General features: G+C 32.6%; 1 protein-coding gene across 9 annotated transcripts in view; it reads left to right on the top strand.

Moving 5' to 3' along the window:
* The window catches only part of TECRL (trans-2,3-enoyl-CoA reductase like), a 133,163-nt gene that overhangs the window by 19,714 nt on the left and 89,582 nt on the right, over positions 1–23,867 (top strand). For all 9 annotated transcript variants that reach the window (XR_001741192.3, XM_024453961.2, XM_005265664.4 and 6 more), the window contains exon 2: positions 14,524–14,575. Coding sequence is in view for 8 of the 9 variants with exons in the window: in XM_024453961.2 (XP_024309729.1) it covers positions 14,524–14,575 (52 nt within the window). In the remaining variant the exon portion in view is untranslated. The remainder of the gene's footprint in view (positions 1–14,523; positions 14,576–23,867) is intronic.

Genomic DNA, 23,867 nt, shown 5'->3' with positions numbered 1-23,867 from the left:
TCTATCAAAACAGTAGTACCAGGACCAGATGGATTAATTGGTGAATTCTACTACATATTTAAGGAAGAAATCACACCCATTCTCTACAATCATTTTGTACAATATTTCCTAACTCACTCTATGATGCCAACATTACCCTGACACCAAAAACAGAGGGCTTATAAAAAAAGTAAATCACAAACCAAAATCCCTCAAAAATATAGATGTAACAATTCTCAACAACATATTAGCATATGAATTTAACACTGTATAAAAAGAAGTATCCTTTGCAACCACGTGGGATTTATCCTACTTGTGCAAGCCTAGTCCAACATTTAAAAAGCAATTAATGTGGTTCATCACATCACCAGGATAAAGTAAAGAAAATCACACAATTTTATCAGCAGATACAGAGAAATCATTTGACAAAATCCAACACTCCTCCATAATAAAAGTCTCAATAAAGTAGGAATAGAGGGGGAACTTCCTCAACTTCATCAATAATATCTCCGAAAGACCTACAGGTCACGTCATTTTTAATGGTGAAAAACTCAAAACTTTCCCAGCAAGATCAGAAAGAAGGAAAGGATGTTTAGTCTCACCACTGCTGTGTGGCATCTTACTGGAAGTTCTAGCTAATGTGAAAAAAAGGAAATAAAGAGTTTACAGATAGGCAAGGAAAAATTAAAAGTCTTTGAAGATGGCATGTTTGTCTATGTAGAATATCTGAAATAATTGGTCTGGAAAAACCCAAGGAAACAAACAGTAAAAGAAAACAGAAAGAACCCCTGGAATTATGATGGATTTGCAGCAAGGTTTCAGGATACAAGGTTAATATATGAAAGTCAGTCATGTTACTATATTGTATATCCTACTAATGAATAAGAGCAATTCAAAATTATATATAAAACAATCATGTGTAATTGTTATTTATGCATATTCACATTATTTATATTTATTTATTTGTATTTATGTAATTTTCATTACTAATAAAAATTAAAATACTTAGGTATAAATCTAACAAAACATTTACATAACCAGCATGAGGAAAACTAAAATACTCTGGATGTGAAAGAAACTAAAGAACTAAATATATGGAGAGATACTTTATGTTAGTGGATAGGAAGATTCAGTATTTTCAAGATGTCAATTCCTTCCAAATAGATGTACAGATGTAATGCAATCCCTACTAAAATCCCAGCAAGTTATTTTGTGCATATTAGCAAACTGTTTCTAAAGTATATATGAAGAGGCAAAAGATCCAGCCTAGCTAAAACAATATTGACAAATAAGAACCAGGTTGAAGAACTGACGTCACCTTACTTCAAGGATTCCTCTATAGCTATAGCAAGCAAGAAAATGTGATATTAGTGAAAGAAAAAACAAATGTATCAATGATACAGAATTGAAAACCCACAAATAAAGTTATCTAAATACAGTCAACTGATCTTTGACAAAGGAACAAAGGCAACATAATGTAGAAAATATAGTCTTTTCATCAAATAGTGCTGGAGCAACTAGACATCCACATGCAAAAAAAAAAAAAAGGATTTAGACTCATCTTACACATTTCACACAAATTAACTCAAAATAAATATCAGACCTAAATGTAAAACTATAAACTACACTAAAACTATAAACAAAACTATAGAACTCTTATGGTATAACAACAAAATCTTCATGACCTTGGATTTGGCAAAGATCTTTTGAAAAAAAATTAATAAGATGGAATTCATTAAAATTAAAATTTCTACTATATGAAAATAAGTACCAAACTGGTGCCAAGAAAATAAAAAGACAAGAAACAAACTGGAAAAAATATTTGCAAAAGTCTTATCTGATAAAAGACATATATGTATGTAATATATATTTATAAAATATACAAAGAACTCTTAAAATTTATCATACTTGTGCAAGACTAGTCCAACATTTAAAAAGTAATTAATGTGGTTCATCACATCACCAGGATAAAGTAAAACAAATCACATAGTTTTATCAATAGATACAGAAAAATTAAAAGCCAAACAACCCTTTTACAAAATGGGCCAAAGAACTTAACAGACACTTCACTAGAAAAGATATACAAATGGCGAATAAATATACAAAAAGAGACTCTACATTATATGTCATCAGGAAAATGATAATGCGATATTACTGTGAACCTTATAGAAAAACCAAAATCCAGAACACTGACATCATATGCTGGGAAGATGTGGAAAAACAGGAACTCTCATTCATTGCTTTTAGGAATGCAAAATGGTAAAGCCATTTGGAAGGCAATTTGATGGTTTCTCACGAAACTAAATATATTCTTACCATACAGTACAGCAGTCATGCTCCTTGGTATCTACTCAAATGAGCTGAAAACTTATGTCCACACATAAATCTGCATAAAGATGTTTATGGCAGCTGCATCCACAATTGCCAGTACTTGCAAACAACCAAGATGTCTTTCAGTAGGTGAATGGACAAACTGTTACACAGGGACAGTGGAATGTTATTCAGCACTAAAGAGAAATAAGCTATTAACCCATGAAAAGACATTCAGGGAATTTAAATGTGCATTACTAAGTGAAAAAATGCAATCTGAAAAGGTTGCATACTATGATTTCAACCATATGACTTTCTGGGAAGGCAAAACAATGATGACAGCTAAAAGATTAGTGGTTGCCAGTGGGGATGGGGTGTGAAGCACAGAGGATTTTTAGTGCAGTGAAAACACTGTGCATAATACTATAATGTTAGATATATGTCATTATAAATTTGTCCAAACTTATAGAACGTACAACACCATGAGTGAACCCCATTGTAAACTGTGGACTGTGGGGATTATGATGTGTCATTGTAGATATATCCGTTGTAAAAAATGTACCATACTGGTGAGAGATGTTGATAATAGGGGATGCTATGCATGTGTAAAGGCAAAGAGTACCTTGGAAATCTCTGGTCCTTCTCTTCAACATTGCTGTGAACCTAAAACTGCTCTAAAATGAAGCCTATTATAAAATAACGCAAAACAAAACAAATTGATTTTAATAATTTATGCCTGAGTAACAGGCTTCCATTTTGGCTTGAAATAGTAATTCTTAATTAAATATAAACCTTGAAAAACAGCATAAGTATTAATATCTGTCATAAAAATAGAGCTTAAAAGACAATGAAGGATAAATCCTCTAATAAGCAAAAGAAAAATTACACAGGAAAAACTACATATCCAAAAATCACTTCCCATACTTTGTCCTCTACGCTGACATATATATATGCATACAGCTGACTCATGAACACCATTGGTTTGAAATGCATGGGTCCACCTATAAATGGATTTTCTTCCACCTCTACCACCCCTGAGACAACAACCAAACCCTCATCTTCCTCTTCCTCAGCCTACTTAGCATGAAGATGATGAGGATAAAGACCTTCATGATTATCCATTTCCACTTAATGAACAGTAAATATAATTTTTCTTCCTTATAATTTTCTTAATAATATTGTCTTTTCTCTAGCTTACTTTGAGAATACCATATATAATACATATTATATGCTTTATAATGGTTAATAATGCTGTAATTATATAGATGCAGTATGTGTTAATTGATTCTATGTTATTGGTAAGGCTTCCAGTCAACAGTAAGCTATTAGTAATCAAGCTTTTGGGGAATCAAAAGTTATATGTGGGCTTCAGGATGGCTGACTAGAGGCACCTGACATTTGCTTCCTATACAAGGAAGGATTGAATCACAAAGCAGATAGATGATCACAGGTTGGATAGGGCATCTAGGAGAGAACACTGAAATTGAGCAGGAAAGTGGCATGAAAGCTCTGAATCATGAAAGGTGAAGAAAGTAAAGCAAGAAGCCCAACCAAGTGTGGGGAAAAGGTAAGCAAGAGTTTCCCAATGGTACACATTTTCACCATGGACTCCTCTAATCCTAGCCCTGGGATAGCCCCTCAGCCCTCATGGGCCCCAAGACTAGTATAAGGAGCTGCCTGGAGTCCACACGATGACATTATTCCAGAGAGGGAGTTCACATTGCGTTCCACACATCTCTTAAGACTCAAATTAGCTGCTGCACTGCTCCATTTTGAGAGCTCAGTCCCCAGTAAATTATATCCTGCCTTGGGGCCCAACAACCCCTGCATCTCCACATTCCTAGAGCCCCACTGACATCCCCTCATATCCACCTAGAAAGCTATGGCAACATGGCACCAGATGGACATAGCAGCTCGGATGTTTCTTCAGCACCCAGCCTATGCAGTATCCTGTGTCCCAGGAAACAGGAGGGTGGTGTAGTGCATGAGGGAGGCTGCTGCCAGGACAAAGAGAGTTAAAGTACACACTCCCACAAGCCTGAGAGCTGCCTGTTTGCAGCCACTGCAACATTGCACCATTGACCTCCCTATCAACAGGCTGCTCCAAACCTGCATGCTCCAGGGTGTCTGGGGACTGGCCAAATTGGACACTATCCTGGGGCCTGAAGACAGGCCTGGCTCACACAACAATACTACTCCACAAGTGGCCAAACATGCTGTTCAGGAGCTTAAGGATCAATCCACCTGGCCTGCCACAGCTAATAAGCTGGGAACTATCAGGGGCCTGAGGACTGGCCCACCTGGTCACCAGAGCCACCAGCCTCTATGAGGATTGTGCAGGAACTGGAGGATTGACCCACCCATCTGTCTGTCCCTGGTACCCACATATACCATCAGGAAAACCTGACAGCAGATCCACCCCACCCACGGCCATTAACTGTGTGCATCATCCATGGGCCTGGGAACTGGTCTGCACTGCCCACCACTGCCACTGCTGGATGTGAGCACACTGTTTGGAGGCCTGTTTCACCCACCATAGCCTATGCCTGCAGATAACATTGGGGAGAACTGAAGACAGGCCCACCCAAGCTGGGACCACCTTTTCCAGTGTCTGTGCACATTATCCAGGGGGCTGAAGCCACAAGAATTCATGCATAACTTCCAGGAGGCTAGGGACTGGCCTATTCATGCTGTCAGGGCCCTATACAATGTCCAGGGGTATGGAGATAAACCAGCCACAACCTGTGTCCATGCACACCATCAGGGGGCCTGAGAACAGGTCCATACAAACTGGCACTGCCCCTACCAATGCTTGCATGCATCATTTAAGGGTGTAAGGATTGACCCCTCCATCCACTACCACCAGTACCTATAAATGCATTCTAGGGGGCCTGAGAATGGGACCTTAGCCTACTGATGACTGCACACATTGTCTAGTGCTCTGAGGATTCACTTGTTCCATCTGTCACCACCAGTGCCTGCATGTGCCTCTTGAAAGCCTGAGGATGGCCCCTCCCAGCCTGCCACCACCACAGTTAACAGCACTCATTTGCATATGCCAACTTGGGGCCTCAGGACTGGCCCATTCATCCAGTTGCCACCACTGCTGACACCTGTGCATGCTACCAGAGGTCTTAAGGGTTGGCCCACAGACAGGACTGGCATGAACACCCCAAAGCAAGAGGCCTGAGTACCCACCTGCCTAACCAGCTGAATACTGTCACTGTAAGCACATGAGAAGCCACCAAGAGGCCCAAGAATCATCCTACCTGGAATATACCACCTGGGTGCCTGCATACACCACCTGGGCACCCAATGACTGGCACACATGGCCTGCTGCTGACACTACTGATGTCTAAGCATTACCCACCTGATGTTCTAATTTCCAGTAAAGCCTCACCACAGCCTTCACCTACAAGTGCAGCCTAAGCCTCTGAGTACCACATAGACAATACGGATGCTGATTACAGCATAAATCATACAGAGACTACAATACTGCACCCACCAAGAATCAAAGGCAAAGTGCCCTGCCCAACAAACACTACAGGGACATCTACAGGAAAAAATTTTTGCCATGAAAGCCAATCCATAAAATTAGAAGAAGCAACTGTTACATCAGATCTGCAGATATCAGCATATTGAGGCAAGAAACATGATAAAATGAGAAATCATGACAAGAAATGTAGTAATTCTCTGGCAACAGATCTCAATGAAAAAGAAATCTATGAAATCCCTAAAAATAAATTCAAGATAATATTAAAGAAGCTTAGTGAGACATAAAAGAGCACAAAAAATACAAATAAATCAGAAAAACATTTGTAATCTAAATTAGAAATTTAACAAAAAGATAGATATAATAAAAAAGATTTAAACTGAAGAACTCAATTAATTAAATAAAAATACAATGGAGAGCTTCCACAATAGACTAGATCAAGCAGAAGAAAGAATTTCTAAACTTGAAGACATGTCTTTTGAAATAACACAGACAGACAAAAAGAAAAGAATAAAGAAGAATGAAGAGAGCCTGCCTGACATATGGGGCATCATAAAGCAACCAAATATTCAAAATTTGAGTGTTCCAGAAGGGAGACAAAAAAAAGCATAGAAACTCCACCTAATGAACTAATAGCTGAAATTTCCCATCTTGCAAGATATAGACATCCAGATACAGGAGCTTAAAGATGCCCAAATATATCCAACCAAAAAGATATTATTTAAGACATGTTGTAATCACACTGTCAAAAATCAAAGACAGAGAGAATACTAAAAAAACAGCAAGAGAAAAGCATCAAGTCACATATAAAGGAATCTTCATCAAACAGCTAAGTTCTCAGCAGAAACCATTAAGTACAGGAGAGAATAGGATAATGTATTAAAAGTACTGACAATCAAGAATACCATATGTAGCAAAGTCATCCTCCAAAAATCAAGGACAAATAAGGCATTTCCCAGATAAGCAAAAACTGAAAGAAATCATTACCACAAGACTGATCCTACAAGAAATGCTTAAGAGAGTCCTACATCTGAAAGCAAAAGGATAATATCTACCACCATGAAAATACAAAAAAGTATAAAACTCATGGGTGGAGCAGACACAATAAGAAAGGGAGGGACTCAAATGTTACCGCTACAGAAAACCACCAAACTGCAATGATAGTAAGAAAAAAAAGAAAGGATCAAAGGACATACAAAATAATAGAATAACAGTTATAAAAATCACAGGAATAAGTTGTATCCTATAAATAACAACCTACAATATAAAGAGATTAAATTTTTCATTTATAAGATACAAATTGGCTGATTAGGTTACAAACTTGACCCAACTATGTGTTGCCTACAAGAAACTCATTTTATCTGTAAAAACATATATAGACTGAAAATGAAGAGATGAAAAGATATTCCATACAAACGAAAACCAAAAGAAGACAGGATTAGCTAAGTTAGTTAAATTTGAAAATAAAAAACTTAAAAAGAGACAAAGAAGGTCATTATATAATGATGAAAAGGCCAATCCAGCAAGAGGATATAACAATTCTAAATATATATACACTAACAACAAACACCTAACAACACTATATAGTGTGTGTGTATGTGTGTGTAAGTGTGTGTGTATGTGTGTGTATATATATATAATATAGATATAATATATAATATAATGTATAATATATAATATAATATAATATATAATATATAACATAATATATATTATATATACATAATACTATATATATATATATATATATATATATATATATATATATATATACAGAAATTTCCTCTGGACGTACACAACCTACTAATATTGGGTCAGAAAGAAGTAGAAAGTTTGAAGACCAATAATGAGTAACAAAACTGAATCAGTAATAAAACATCTCTCAACAAAGAAAAGCCCAGCACTGAGTTGCTATACTGGTGAATTCCATCAAACTTGTAAATAAGAACTAATGATAATTTTTCTCATACTATTCCAAAAATTCTAAAAGAAAGGAATTCTTCATAACATTCCATTGTCCAGCTTTATCCTGAAACCAAACCATATGATCACACATGCACACATCCCCCCACACACACGTGCACTTGCGTGCACACACACACACACGCAAATAGTACTACAGGCCAATATTCCTGATGAACAAAGACACAAACATCTTCAGAAAAGTCCTAGCAAATAAAATCTTACAACACATCAAAAAGATAATACCCTATGATTTAGTAGGATTTATTCCAGGAATAAATGTATACTTCAATATATGCAAATCAATAAATATGATATATCATATCAACAGATTGAAGGATAAAATGCATATGATTACTGTAATAGATACAGATAAAACATTTAATACAATGCACAATCCCTTTATGATTAAAAAAAAGAAACCTCTCAACAAATTAGGTATGTAATGAACATACCTCAACATAAAGGGCATATATGACAAACCTTCAGCTGACATCATTCTGAATGGGGAAGAAAACGACAGCCTTTTATCTAAGAACTGGAACAAGACAAGGATACCCATTCTTATTCAACATAGTACAGGAAATCCTATTCAGAGCAATCAGGAAAGAAAAAGAAGAAAAAAAAAAAGGGCATCCAAATTGGAAATGTGGAAGTTAAGTTGTCCTTTGTAGATGACATAATCTTATATATGTAATAACATGAAAACACCACCAAAAATATTTTAGAACTGATAAATAAATTCAGTAAACTTTCAGAATACAAAATCAACATATGAAAATCAGTAGCATTTTTATACACCAATGAGAAACTGGCTGAAAACTAAATCAATAATTTTATCTCATTTACAATAGGTACCAAAAAAAATTGAATAAATTTAACCAGGAAGGGGAAAGAACTTTACAAGGAAAACTGCAAAACTCTGATGAAAGAAATTGAAGAGGACACAAACAAATGGAAAGACATCTGATGCTAATGGATTAGAAGAATTAATATTGTTAAAATATCCACACCACCCCACCCAAAGCAATCTACAAATTCAATACATTCCCTATCAAAACACCAATGACGTTCTTTACAAAATAGAAAAACAATCTTAAAATCTATATGGAACCACAAAAGACCGTGTATAGACAAAGCAATACTGAGCAAAAAGAAACAAAGCTGGAGGCATCACACTTCCTGACTTACAATATACTTCAAAGCTATAGTAACCAAAACAGCATTGCATTGGTACAAGAATAGAAATAGACCTATGGAACATAGAACCCAGATATAAATCCTTGCATTTATAGTCAACTGATTGTCTTCAAAGATGCCAACAATATACATTGAAGAAAAGACAACTTCTTTAATAAATGATGCTAAAAATACTGGATATCTATATGCAGAAGAATGTGATTAGACCCCATCTTTTATCAAACACTAAAACTCAACTGAAAATTGATTGGAAACTTATATGCTAAGACCCCAAACCATAAACTGCTAAAAGAAAACATAGGAGAAAAGATTCAGAACATTAGGCAAAAAATTCATAACTAAGACCTCAAAAGTATAGGTAGCAAAAACAAAAATACACAAATGGGAACATATTAAAATAATCAGCTTCTGCATAACACAGGAAATAACAGAGTGAAGAGGCAAAAGAGTGGAAGAAAATATTTGCACACTATTCCTCTGACGAGGGACTAATATTCAGAACTAAATAAGCAACTAAAATACCTCAATTCCCAGAAGCATAAAAACAAGCAAACAAATCATTCCATGGAAAATTGGGCAAATAATCTGAGTAGATATTTCTCTAAAGAAGACATACAAATGGCCAACAGATATATAACAAAGTGGTCAACATCACTAACATAAGGGAAATACAAATCAAAGCTACAATTAGATATTAACTTACCCTGGTATGAATGGCTATTATGGAAAGACAAAGGCAAAACAAATGCTGGTGAGGCTGCAGATCAAAGGAAATTCTTATACACTATCAGTGGAAATGAAATTAGTACAGACATTATGGAAAACAATAGAGAGTGTCTCAGAAAACAAAAATAGAATTTTTATAAATTCCAGACTTCCACCCTGGGTATTTATCCAATGGAAAACAAATCAGTATATCAAAGGGATACCTGCATCCTCATGATTATTGCAACACTATTCACAATAACCAAGCTATAGAATCAACTATTTGCAGCAACATAGATGGAACTAGAAGTCATTATATTAACTGAAAAACGCCAGGCATTGAAAGACAAATACTGCATGTTCTCATTCATGTGTGGGGGTTTAAAAAGAAGTTTAACACTTTAAAAAGTTAATCTCATGAAGGTACAGAGTATAATATTTAGCAGAGGCTGGGAACAACAGTGAAGGAATGAAGAGGGGTTAGTTAATGGGTAGAAACATAGAGTTAGATAACAGAAGTAGCTTCTACTGTGTGACAGCATAGTAGGGTGACTATAATTAACAATTAACATATATTGTATATTTCAAAATAGCTAGAAGAAAGGATTTGAAATGCTTCCAACACAAATAAATGGTAAGTGTTTAAGGTGATGGATATTCTAAATACTGTTTTGATCATTTCACATTTCATGTACATATCAATATAGCACATGCACCCCGTAAATATGTATAGTTATTAGATATCAATAAAAATTGTTTTAAAATATGACTACATGGTGGGTTGGCACCTCTGCATTGTTCAAGGGTCAAGTGTGTGTGTGTGTGTGTGTGTGTGTGTGTGTGTGTGTGTATGTGTGTGTGTGTGTTTGCATAAATAAAAGACCAGTAATGTTTTAGGCTGTACTTCTAAATAAAATTTACACATAATTTCCTAGAAATAAAATTTTTCATATAAAAGAGCATTATTCAGATAAAAACTTTCTTTGGTAAATACTTTGACAAAATCAATTTATATGTTAATTTTTACATTTTTTTCAATAGAAACGGCATAATTGATATTAACCAAATTGTTATTGCAATATAAAAAGAAACATTTTGTATGATACAAAAACAGGATATGTGTGTATGCATACATATATATGTATATACATATAGTTTTACTTAACAAAGAACTAATTTTAAATAATTTAGTTTATAAACAAAATTGATACAATATAAAACATTTCAATTTCTTAGATAAATAAAATTCAGTTAAATTTAAAAGGCGAAAAATTTATATGATCTGAAGAGAAACCATAGTATAATTCAGTTAAAATTTAAACATTTAAACCTTGTTAAAACTCATATTTCTTGAGATTCACTGTGCGCTGTCAATTTTATTCATAGTGAAAATTCTTGCTATTCTACAAAATACTGAACACATTTTGATTGTATAAAAATTATTTTCTATAGATTATCTACTTATCTGAGCAATCTGAAGGTTACTTATTAGTAAAATAACATTTGCTTACTGAGAAAATCCTTGTCCATTCTGAATAAAATATGCAAATATACATTCTATTTGCTAATCTACTACCTTATTTATCTTTGTTTGTTTGTTTGTTTGAGACAGGGTCTCCCTCTGTCACCCAGGTTCCAGCATAGCTGGGACTACAGACACACCCCTCCATGCCCTGCTAATTTTTTTTTCTTTTGGAGAGATGGGATTTCCGCCATGTTGCCCAGGCTCGTCTTGAAGCCCTGGGCTCAAGTGATCCTTCTGCCTTGGTTTCCAAAAGTGTTTATTCTACAAGCCTGAGCCACCAAGTCTGGCCTAAAATCTTCTAATGGAAATTCTCAGACCTATTTTTTTCCATTTTCCTGAATTAATCAAGCTTAACATGTGATTCTTTCGGCAATTTTCTTCCTTGTGTCTTCAAAAACAGCTCTGTTTACGTAGGAAACCTGCATTTGGCATTTTGTACTTCTCTGTGTATCTGTGTCTGCATTTTCACACCACTATATCTAATTATTTATATCAGTTCATCTTTTACTTTGGTTTTATTTCTGTACTTTTACTTTTAGACAAGTTCTTTGTTTTAATAAAGTTTAGTGACAAATTTAGGTTTTTATACTACAAAAACCTCATCAAATGAATGTCAAGTGGTTGCTGTTTTTTCTTATACTTTAATTTTTATTGCTGTAATCAGGATGAGCAGTATTTTGGAGACAGCTGTTCATCTTAAGAATTTACTGTGAAAGTGGCTAAAATACGGTTTTAAAAAGAAGCAATATTACAAAAAAAGGTTTCTGTGAAAAACTGTAGTAAATGCATATTGGGCAAATTCAAACAAATTCCAGATTAAATGCTTGAACGAAAAAGCTTTTTTGTTTTCATCAACTTAAATGTAGGATAAAGTAATTATAACTCAAATTTTAATTATAATCAGTTAAAATTTAGAAGTAAATTCTTGGTTTAACTAACATCATTTGCCTTGCCTACTCACTATTTTAAGATTCATTTTCTTTTAAGAGGAAGAAACATTAATGAAGGGAATATTAAGGTTTCAAATGTAGGGTTTCAGATAACTCCCATCTGTATAATTATGGAAATGAATAAATTATCACGATGATAGTTTATCCTTTTTAAGATGTTGTAAAACTGACTAAAAAGTGGAAGTTATGATAACTAAACTCCCTGATGAAGCCACTGAGACATCAATTTAGTCATCAGAAGCTCTTATATGCTCAGCTAATTATCATATTTTCCTCTCTTTGTGCTTTCAGTACAACTAAAGGACTGAAAAGAGCAGATCAAGTACAATCCTGTGGCTAATTGAATATATGTCTCAATCATTTAGTAGTTAATTTCTTTCTGATTTATTTTGTCCAAAATTACTGCAGAAAGGGCAGTTCTCAAGAATTTATTCAAAATCAGCACTTTTCTAACAAGTGAAAGTCAAATGAAAATTTTTAGAAATGTTAAGAGTGTATAATACATCCCTATTCCACATGAAGGTTTCGTTCAGGAAAACAATGTTAGTCTTGAAAATAAGCAAATTGAAAGAAAAAAGCATATATCAAATTAGAAGTTTGTCTATTGCATTATTCTGGCGTGGAGAATGGCATACAGCTTTTGCATATCAGATTAAGAAACTTTGATCTTACTCTGGTTTTACGTGTTTGCACTCACAGCTTTATTTTTGACTTCTACAAAAGTTAATTAAAGCTTATTATATGCTCTGTGGTGTACTACATGATAAAACAAAACAAAAGTAACACTAGGTCATTATCCTCAGCTCCATATAGATTAAACAACCAATGCATAATACAAGATAATGTGCCCTCATAAAGTGTGAGAGGAACACATATCAAACTCAAATCGAGGGATTATTGATTATGAAAATTATTTTTTATTTAAAATTACATGGCCCTTGATACAACTAATGGACAAATATTTGTTACTCTGGGGAATATCACGTGGCCTTTACTCCACTCTGTCAGAGAAAGCAACATATAAAGGTGCTGAATGAATAAGAAACATTGAGATAAAACAACGGACACTGTTAAAACAATATTTTAAAAATTAAATTTAAATATTAAAGGTTAATAACCAAAATTAAAATATATGCACAAGTATATAAATATATATTACTCTCTATATAAACTGTTTTTAAATTTTTTTCTAACATCTTTCAGAGAAGAGCATTGCCATGAAATATTTATAACTTTATATACACAGAATGTTTTAGGATCATTTTGCTATTAATAGCATAACACAAATTGAAATACCTGTTACTTTTTAGGGCTTAAATCTTATAACTGTCTTATTTAGTAAATCATATACACACAGGAAATCATAAAAAAAGTTCTGAACAGTATACTGAATGCTTAGTCACAATCCTGTTAAGTAGAAGGCGAAATATGTTAAAATAAATGTATTTGTTGTTATACTTTCAGTGTATAATAAAACATCAAATGTAATGTAACAATTCTTATGGACTATTATGCACCAACATTTTATGCATTTTTTATTTAACCCTTTCAAAACAGTTATAAGGGGATTTTAGTGTAGCATAAATAAATCATGTAGACATATGATTATAATAAATTTCACTAGTATCGTATGCTTATTCAGGGAAAGGAAATATATTTTCTTGAATTATCATAAAATGTCTTTTGAGACAAATTCAGAAAAAAAAGTATTGCGATGGCTTGAAGTATTTGCATGGAACTTTAGTCCTCAATAATTTTTAAATTTAGATGAATAAAAAATATTTTATTCATTTTTTAATTTATAGAGTTTGTTTTAGTAATTTAGTACCAAATATTTTATCAAATTACTATGTACTTAAGGAATCCAAAAAATATATCTCACATGCATTTTAATGGACCTTTAGTACTTTTATTTGGGGATTTAAATAATGTCAGTAGGGGACTTAAGGTGACTTTTGTCTCATAAAATTCTGAGGTAAACATTTCTCTCATTTGTCCATATAAATTAACTTCACATCCTCGGGTACTATTGCTATACATTCTTTTACATTCCTGTGCATTAAGACATATTTTTAATTGATAGTTTTATGAGATGTGGAAAAATACATTGACTATTTTGGACAAAGAAAATTCAAAAATATATCTTAGGGATACAAATTGGATTGAATTAATGTAATAAAGCTATTACTGTTGTATACAAACAAATTTTTTTAAAAAATTATATTGTTACTGATTGCAACATTTCAAGCTTGTCAAAATAGTAATCACTAAAAAGATAAATGAAGCAAAAATTCTTATTGTGTAAGAATTTTATGATATATTTAAACTTTTTTTTCTTAAATGGATAGAAAACAAATTAACAGTTTTTAAAAATAACTCTATTTTCTTTTCCTTTTCAGGTGACACAATCATCTACTATTCATGATGTTAAGCAAAAGTTTCACAAAGCATGTAAGTTTTATATATTATTTAGAATTTACATCATAATGTTTTATTTTCAAATAGGTTTAAATTTTTCTATAAGTGCAATATATGTTAGAGTGTATGAAAACCATAGTTCTACAAGGAGCTCAGGAACAATAGTTTGCTTAATATTTCTTTGGCATAAATATTCTAGCATTTAACTCTAATTGATCCTTTAATCTCCAGCATTTCCAATTTTTCTTCACAAAGTTGTTTTTAATTTATATTTAAACTTAATTTTATTATAACAGGAAACTTTCTATATGTTATAAAGACACATGCACATGTATGTTTATTGTGGCACTATTCACAATAGCAAAGAATTTCAACCAAACCAAATGTCCAACAAAGATAGACTGGATTAAGAAAATGTGGCACATACACACCATGGAATACTATGCAGCCATAAAAAAGGATGAGTTCATGTCCTTTGTAGGGACATGGATGAAGCTGGAAACCATCATTCTCAGCAAACTATTGCAAGGACAAAAAACCAAACACCGCATGTTCTCACTCATAGGTGGGAATTGAACAATGAGAACACATGGACACAGGAAGGGGAACATCACACACCGGGGCCTGTGGTGGGGTGGGGGGAGCGGGGAGGGATAGCATTAGGAGATATACCTAATTCTAAATGACGGGTTAATGGGTGCAGCACACCAACATGGCACATGTATACATATGTAACAAACCTGCACATTGTGCACATGTACCCTAAAACTTAAAGTATAATAATAATAAAAAGAATTTCTGGAAAAAAAAAGAAAACATTAAAAAAGAATCTATGAATAAAAACCTTCCCATAAAGAAAAAAAAGAATATAGAAATAAATTGCAAATGGTGAATGTACCTAAAATTTATAAACATTTGAGTACAATCTATTTAAAATTCGTAATGAAATGGAAAGCCTATGCAGGAAGGAATACAATTGCTTGAAATATGCTTACTCAGTTTAAAATTCTTGAGGAAGGTGATATTTTTTATTTTGCTATAAAGTCATATAGGAATTGGTTATGTTGAACAGTGCCAGAAGAGCACTATAATAAGGGACAAAGAACAAAACCAAAAAGATAAATATATATATATATATATATATATATATATGTATCTACTATATACATATATATATATGTATCTACTATATACTATACTATAGTATAGTAGATATATATATATCTACTATATACTGTATACATATAGTGTGTATGTATAGTATATATATAGTGTATATAGTATATATAAGTATTTTTGGTGTATTTCTACTTAAAATAAATTTATTTTAATAGTTATTTCTATCTTAGCATAAAACATGGATCTCATTAAGCTAGTAATTGAATTGCCACCTTTGTGGCATTACACTGACTTAGACCAATTCTATCTAATAAAGTGTCTCCAGACAGTTTAGATTACAGTAGTAAGTAGGAAGACATTTGAAAATGACTTTTTAATATAAAGTAGAAAGGTGTAACAAGAAGATTGTATGTAAAACAATAATAACAAAGTCTTATTTCTATTGTTGGAAAATGGGTACATGAATCAAAGTCGAGTTTATGTGTAAAAGAATGTGCAGTCACCCTGACAAAAAAGTATTATTTTTATAATAATTTATGTCAACTAATAGACATAACAATTACTTGAAATCTTAAACTTTTAAAGGAACGCGTTTTCTATTTATGTGATTTAGAGCCTGCTTCTAATACTTAGGAAACTGAAGTTAAGTAAGCAGCTTACAAAAAATCCTAGAAATGTCCTGTTGCAAAAGTAGATAGCTGACAATATGACAATAGTATAGTTAGTTTCAATAGTTATATCAGGGCAAGAATTATTGATAGCTATTATTTTATTTTCCTTTGTAAGTACTAATCTTTAACAGCTTTACTTAAATAGTGACTTTTTTCACTTTTTCAAAATTATCTTTATTTTAATATTATTTCAATCATCTAAAATATAAAAATAATATTTCAGCATTTTCCCATATATCATAGTGTATTTCAAAATTTTATTGATCTTTAGGTTTTACAAATTGAAGACACACAAAAACACTTTTTGCTGCATTACATTATATAAAGTATTTAAAAGAATGTATTTGCCAATTTTTGAAAGACATTGAAAAACATTGCTAATCCTGAAAAATCTGTAAACATATGGACATTAGTAAAAAGAACTTCTCTCTTAATTGCCTTAGGATCTTATATTTTTAGCATATTTTAAAACTAGATAACATTGGATACTTATTAAAGTACATAAATATATACCAAAGAGATTAATCATATACTTACAAAGCCACATTTGTCAGGTTTTAAAAAACTTTACTTTTTGACACCAAATTAATTTTTATGACATTTCTGACATTGTTTGTTTTCAGGCCCTGGAATGGGAATTTAATCTTGGGAAGAAAAAAAAAATATGTTATCAGAAGACATTATTTCCTGAAGGCAGAATTCTTGTTATATGTCTTTTATCTCTATCTTTTGTTCTCGTTTTGATTAATCCTGATATTTTGTCTTCCTACGTTTTCTCAGACTTATCAGCTTTACATTTTTCTTTGTTTTATTTTAGAACTTTTTTTACTGTAATATGTCTTTTCTATACAGTGACAATCTTAATGTTCTTCCAAGGTTTGTAATTTTTAAGTTCTGCTTTGTTATAAGAATAATCTCTTAGTTTACTCTAGTAATGCCACAGTAATCAGACTGGTGAAGAAATAGAAAGAGAGAAAACCACTCTTCATGTGTTAGCTGCTAAGGCAAGGAGAGAGGAATGTTTTTCATGAAAACAGAAGCATATAAAACTACAAATTAGATCTATGCATACACATACAAACAAATAATTTCACTCATTTCTTATGCTTTTCTCATTTAATGCAGCTAAAATGCATGAAATGTCCCCAGCTGCAAATCCTCAGTTGGTCTTTCTTTATCTTGATCTATTTGTTTCTTAACACTTGTAATTATTGTTCTTGTTTGCATCTTCAAGTCTCTTCTAGAGAGCTTAAGAAATTTTCACGCTAATGTACCTTTATATCATGCTCTATTCATGTTCATCTGCTCACAAGTATTCCATAGAGGAATTGTACATTATTTTAAAAACCTAGCTGAAAAATAAAGAATTATTAGTCCCAGTGACACTCTGACCAAAACTGTGTAAATATTTTTTAACATTTTAAAGATATTTTAAAAACTACTGTGTGTCTCTATTATTTATTCTAGCAGAGTAATACCACTCTATTTCTATCGTCACCCAATTCAACAAGTAACCCACTTTTCTCTTGGGATAAAATATGACTTTATTAGAACATGTTGAAAAATAAAATCATAGCAAATTACACTTAAGGACATAATTGGTGGTTATTAGCTACTCATAAATTGGGCAGTATCTTATCTAGATATAGATGTAAGTAGAAACGAACTTCAATAAGCATGACGGGACAGAACAGTTGATTTTATAAAGTGGCTAGCTGGAGCAGGAATGAGAAAAATGTTTCTGCCTGCAAAGAAAAGTGAAAAATTCCTATAGTCTGGGTTTCCACAGAAAAGCAGATGAATGTGATATTTTGCATTAATAAAATAAAATATATATTTATGTAAATACTTTGAAAAATTGATAAAGCGAAGGTCTGCTTAATATGTTCTATAGGAACTGCAGCACGAATTATTGTAAGCCAGGAAATCTCTAACAGAGATTCGGAAATACCACTGTATGAACATGTGTAAAGGTAGCATTTTGTATAAAAACTGTTTGTAAAATTATTTCTAATTATTTATTATTTAATTGTTTATTATAATTATTTGGTTTTGATTAAATGTAATTAATTGTAATTGTGATTGTTTTACAATTTAGTTATAATTATAATTTAATTAATTATAATGATAAGGTAATTGTATTTTATTATTGAATTGAATTTATAATTTACAATGTAAATTACAATATAATTAATGTAAAAATAATTATGTATTATTATTACTGGGTTTGTAGTTAAAAGTGCTTTGTTTTCACAAGATAAGATGCCCTAAATGGCACTCCAAATAGCATATACAGTTTCTACAGCCATCCATCAGTTATAATGGATGACCACTTCTGTGATTATTCAATGTGGGTAAACACCACAATTACAATTAAAATCACAGGCTTGAAGTTGGGTGAAAAAAATAGTGTGTGAAAATATTGAATGAGGTTCAATTTTCATGCAGCAGCAAATCATGCCCTTTATTAAATATTTTCAAAATTATATCAAAACATATTTTCAAAGCTTACTTCAAAGCTCATACAAAATGTACAGTATGAACTATGTGATATTTTAGTTTAGATTAGCATATTACTAAGCACATGATTAATAGTTTTCTTTCTGGATAATTCATCATAAATATCATGGATCCTTACTTGAGATAAAAGTTTTATTACATGTTTTGGCAATTTTTAAGTAGTAAATACTTTTTAGGGTTTCTAGATCACATTTCTTTCTATATTATCAAAATTGTTTAGGATAACTAAAGATTAAATAGAGGGAACCATCAGAAATAACACCCTTATGAAATTAGGATGATATTACTGGAATTTTTCTACTCACTGATTTTGTGTGGACTAGTAACATATTAGTCAAATTGATAAAAATTATTTGCATTTAAGATAATAACTGGAGATAATAATGAAAAGGTAAAGATATGAAAAAAACTTTCTGCTTGTGAAATTTATTTTGTTATTGCTTTTCCTTCTTTTCTCAAATCTAAATGTCTCTGAGAAATTATTAGCCTCCTGTGCTTATCAAATATTATCCCTCAGAAACAACTCTCTTAGCTTTCACTGGCATTCTTCGCCTGGTGAAATCTACTTTTTTTTTGGAGAATCTATTTCTAAAACCTACAAAGTTTATCTCCAAAAAATTGTCTTCTCATACTTAACATCCATATTTCCTCTTCAAATGAATTTCTATTTGTTAAATTTCTTATTTTCTACCAATGTTATAGCATCGGTATTTCTTGGTTTCTTGACCATTTGAACTACCTTTAAAACATTTTTCTTTAAGTTTAAATTGTCTCTTATGCAAAGTATTCCTATACCTTTCTCCATGTTTGTTCACATCTTTTTTTATACCAGTAAGAATCATCTTTCTCTGTTTAAAACCCTCCACTTAATTATCAAGATATATATGCCTTTGGGCTAAGAAAATTTTCCTCACTCTTTCAATCTGTACTCTCATTTTTTCTATATAATTTAAATATTATAGTTAATCACAATGTGTAGCACTTGTTGTCAAATACAATGTCTTATAACATCACTACATGTCCTACTCTACTTTGCATTAACATTTATAATACTACTAATAAAAACAATTAACTTTTTTCAAAATTTATTATGTGCCACGGACCTAAAATATTTCTATTGTAGCACAGTTTTAAAATAATTGTGACAATACTATGATCATTTAGGTACAATTATAATTTTTATCTTTCAGATAAAAATCTTTAAAGAAATATTATATAACTTGCCCCAGGTCACGCAGCTAATAAGTGACAAAGATGGAATTTAATCTCAGGCAGTGTGACTCTGTACCCTGTACTATGACCACTAACCTCCATTCCCTCTATTTGCCTGAAAAAATCTCATTAATTTCTTCAGGCAGAAGTCCCCGTAGTACCCAGTTATTTTACTTGAGAAAGGTTATTTATTAATCCTTATTTTCAAATAGAAAACTACAAAGTTCATTTTAGAAATTATGTAATGAATAATAACACAGTAAATCTGAACATAGTTCACAATTGGTTACAATAACTGAAATCCCTGTCTAAGGTCATATGGCAGTGTAAAAAAACTACTAAATTATTAATAAAAACAACAGCTAATATGAATATAGAGGAAGAGTGAAAATATGGCTTAAAATTGCTAACGAAATATTCTCCTTTGAGATTGTTCTAAAAATAGTAATATATAAATTGAAAGAGTCAATGAATGATTAACAGCTGAAGCATAATTTGTACACTGACTCTGTGTCATAAACATTTCTGAACAAAAAAAGCAAAATCATTTTGCCCATGACTTTCGTGTTATCTATTAGTTGAAAACACCATACAAAGTTTTAGTGATGTTTATTATCTATCAGACTACTTGTCTAAGCAGTTCCCAGAAAGAACCATGGGGAACAAAGCAAGGTAAGAAACAATGAAATTAGCAGGACAATTGTAGTTTCAGCCACAAGAAAGGGTATATAATTTATTGTGACAGTTGGAATGCATATAAATCTTTGCCAAAATGCTGGGGGATACAAATAATGCTAAACTTTGAAAGGTTCAAGGATAGTAACTAACTCAGGACAAAGATAGCAGAGCAGGAGGATTTATCACATATAGTAGAAAATAATGAGTGTTCTCTGAGCAATTTGGAAGCAGTCCCCTGGACAAGGCTGTGGAATTCCCTGAACTCTTAACAAAAAAAGCCAGAAAAATGATAAATGCACCCAATGAAAAAAGTGGCAGAATACTTTAAAAAAATAAAATTTCCTCTACTGCTACCTCAAAAAGTACCTAAGATTCTCCCTCTAGTTTGTTGGGTTAAAAAACAATTATGAGGGCTGGGCACAGTGGCTCATGCCTGTAATCCCAGCACTTTCGGAGGCCAAGGCGGGCGGATCATGAGGTCAGGAGTTTGAGACCAGCCTGGTCAACAGGGCGAAACCCCGTCTCTACTAAAAATACAAAAATTAGCTGGGTGTGGTGGCGTGCGCCTGTAATCCCAGCTACTCAGGAGGCTGAGGCAGGAGAATCGCTTGAATCTGGTAGGCAGAGGTTGCAGTGAGCCAAGATCATGCCATTGCACTCCAGCCTGGGCGACAACAGCAAGACTCTGTCTCAAACAAACAAACAAACAAACAAAAAAAGAAAACAAACAAACAAACAGTTATGAGCCTTGTCAACATTTTAGATGGAGAAATAGGGTAATTTGCCAAATTATTCATGAATTCATTTTTTGGTAACATGGTAACATTTTTTGGTAACAGACATGGTTACATTTTATGAAAGCTATATACACAAGTGGACATTCTAAGAACCTTCTAGGAACTTTAGTCAGGAAGGTCCAATAAGCCCTTTTATTATTGGGCAGCAATATCACCAGCTTTTTCATAGTATATGTGGCTTTCAAGATTGAGATTAACACTACCAGGTTAATAAAACCTGGTAGTGTTGATGCCCTGGTTATGGAGGAAATCCTAACAAATGTGCCCACTGGAGACAAAGAAACTAAATTATGAACTCCCTTCCCACAGTTGAGCATAACAAAAGAGATACATCAGCATCTTCCGTGGAATTGAAATAAATATTTCAGCAAGAGTGAAAGCATTTTTGTGAATCATATTTTACCAATTTACAACTGAAAAAATTTTAAAAATTTCTACTCTTTATTTAGCATACTACATACATTCTTAAACAATTTTATACCATATACTGTTATTATTCTTCAATTTTAGACAAAAGATCATTATGATTTTGAAGGTCATTATTATTTGGTAACAAAAAATTTCTTATTCGGCATTAAAAATTGACTACTCAGTGTGATTGCAATAAAATACTGGTCAAATTTATTTCGCTGTATATTTAATGTCATTAGATATTCATATAAGTGATGAGAATTTTATGTGATATATGACACTTTTTGTATTTGTATTTTGTGTTGGTTTTTTGCCCACATACATGCACAAATTGAAAGACATTCTGGAATGTATTAATGATTGCATTAGTTTTAAAATTATAAGAATTTTATTTTATTATTTTATTCAACTTTTAGGTTCAGGGGGTGCATGTGCAGGTTTGTTACATGAGTAAATTGCTTGTTGTTGGGGTTGGTGTACAAATGATTTTATTACCCATGTTGTGAACATAGTAACGAATAGGTAGTTTTCTGACCCTCACCCTCCTTCAAACCTCCACCCTCAAGCAGGCTCCAGTGTCTATTGTTCCTCTCTTAGTATCCATGTGTACTTAGTGCTTTGCTCCCACTTATAAGTGAGAACACACAGTATTTGGTTTTCTGTTCCTATGTTAATTTACACATGATAATGGCCTCCAGCTCCATCCATGTTGATGCAAAGGACATAATTTTATTCTTTTTTATGGCTGCATAGTACTCCATGGCATTATATGTACCATATTTTCTTTAACCAGTCCACTGTTGATGAGCTTCTAGGTTGATTTCATAACTTTGCTATTGTGAATAGTGCTGCAGTGAACATGAGTACATGTGTCTCTTTGGTAGAATGACATATTCCTTCAGGCATATACATAGTAACGGTATTGCTGGGCCAAACGATAGTTCTGTTGTAAATTCATTGGGAAATCTCCAACTGTGACTGAACCAATTTACACCACCACCAATAGTGTATAAGTGTCCCCTGTTCTCTACAACTTGCCAACATCTGTTATATGGTGACTTTTTAACAATAGCCATTTTGACTGGTGTGAGATTGTTAATTCATTGTGGTTTTGATTTGCATCTCTCTAATGATTAGTGACACTGAGCTTTTTTCATATGCATGTGTATCATCTTTTACATGTCTATTAACGTTATTTTCCCATTTTTAATGCAGTCGTTTGTTATATGCTTATTCAATTGTTTAAGTTCCTGCTAGGAGCTGGATACTAGACCTTTGTCAGATGCATAGTTTGCAAATATTTTCTCCCATTCTGTAGGTTGTTCATTCACTTCATTGATAGTTTCTTTTGCTTTGCAGAAGCTCTTTAGTTTAATTAGATCAGATTTGTTAATCATTGCTTTTGTTGCAATTGCTTTTGGCATCTTTGTCATGAAATCTTTCCCGGTTCCTGTGTCTGGAATGGTATTACCCTATCTTGTCTTCCAGAGTTTTTACAGTCTGGGTTTTACATTTCAGTCTTTAATCCATCTTTACATTTAAGTATTTAATTCACCAAATCAAGCTGAATTTTGTGTATAGTGCAAGAAGGATGCCCAGTTTCAATCTTCTGCATGTAGCTAGCCAGTTATCCATGTGCCGTTTATTGAATGGGGAGTCCTTTTCTTCATTCCTTGTTATTGACCACTTTGCCAAAGATCAGATTATTGTATTTGTGTGGCTTTTTTTCTGGGCTCCCTATTCTGTTCCATTGATCTATGTGTCTGTTTTTGTACTAGTACCATACTGTTTTGATTACTATTGCCTTGTAGTAGAGTTTGAAGTTAGGTAATGTGATGCTTCCAGCTTTATTTGTTTGCTTAGGATTCCTTTGGCTGTTTGGGATCTTTATTGGTTTTACATAAATTTTAGAATAGT

Source organism: Homo sapiens, chromosome 4 (genome assembly GCF_000001405.40).
Source record: "Homo sapiens chromosome 4, GRCh38.p14 Primary Assembly".
Classification (NCBI taxonomy): Eukaryota; Metazoa; Chordata; class Mammalia; order Primates; family Hominidae; genus Homo; species Homo sapiens.
Note: the sequence above shows the minus strand (reverse complement) of the source record. Positions and strands in the feature narration are given on the sequence as shown.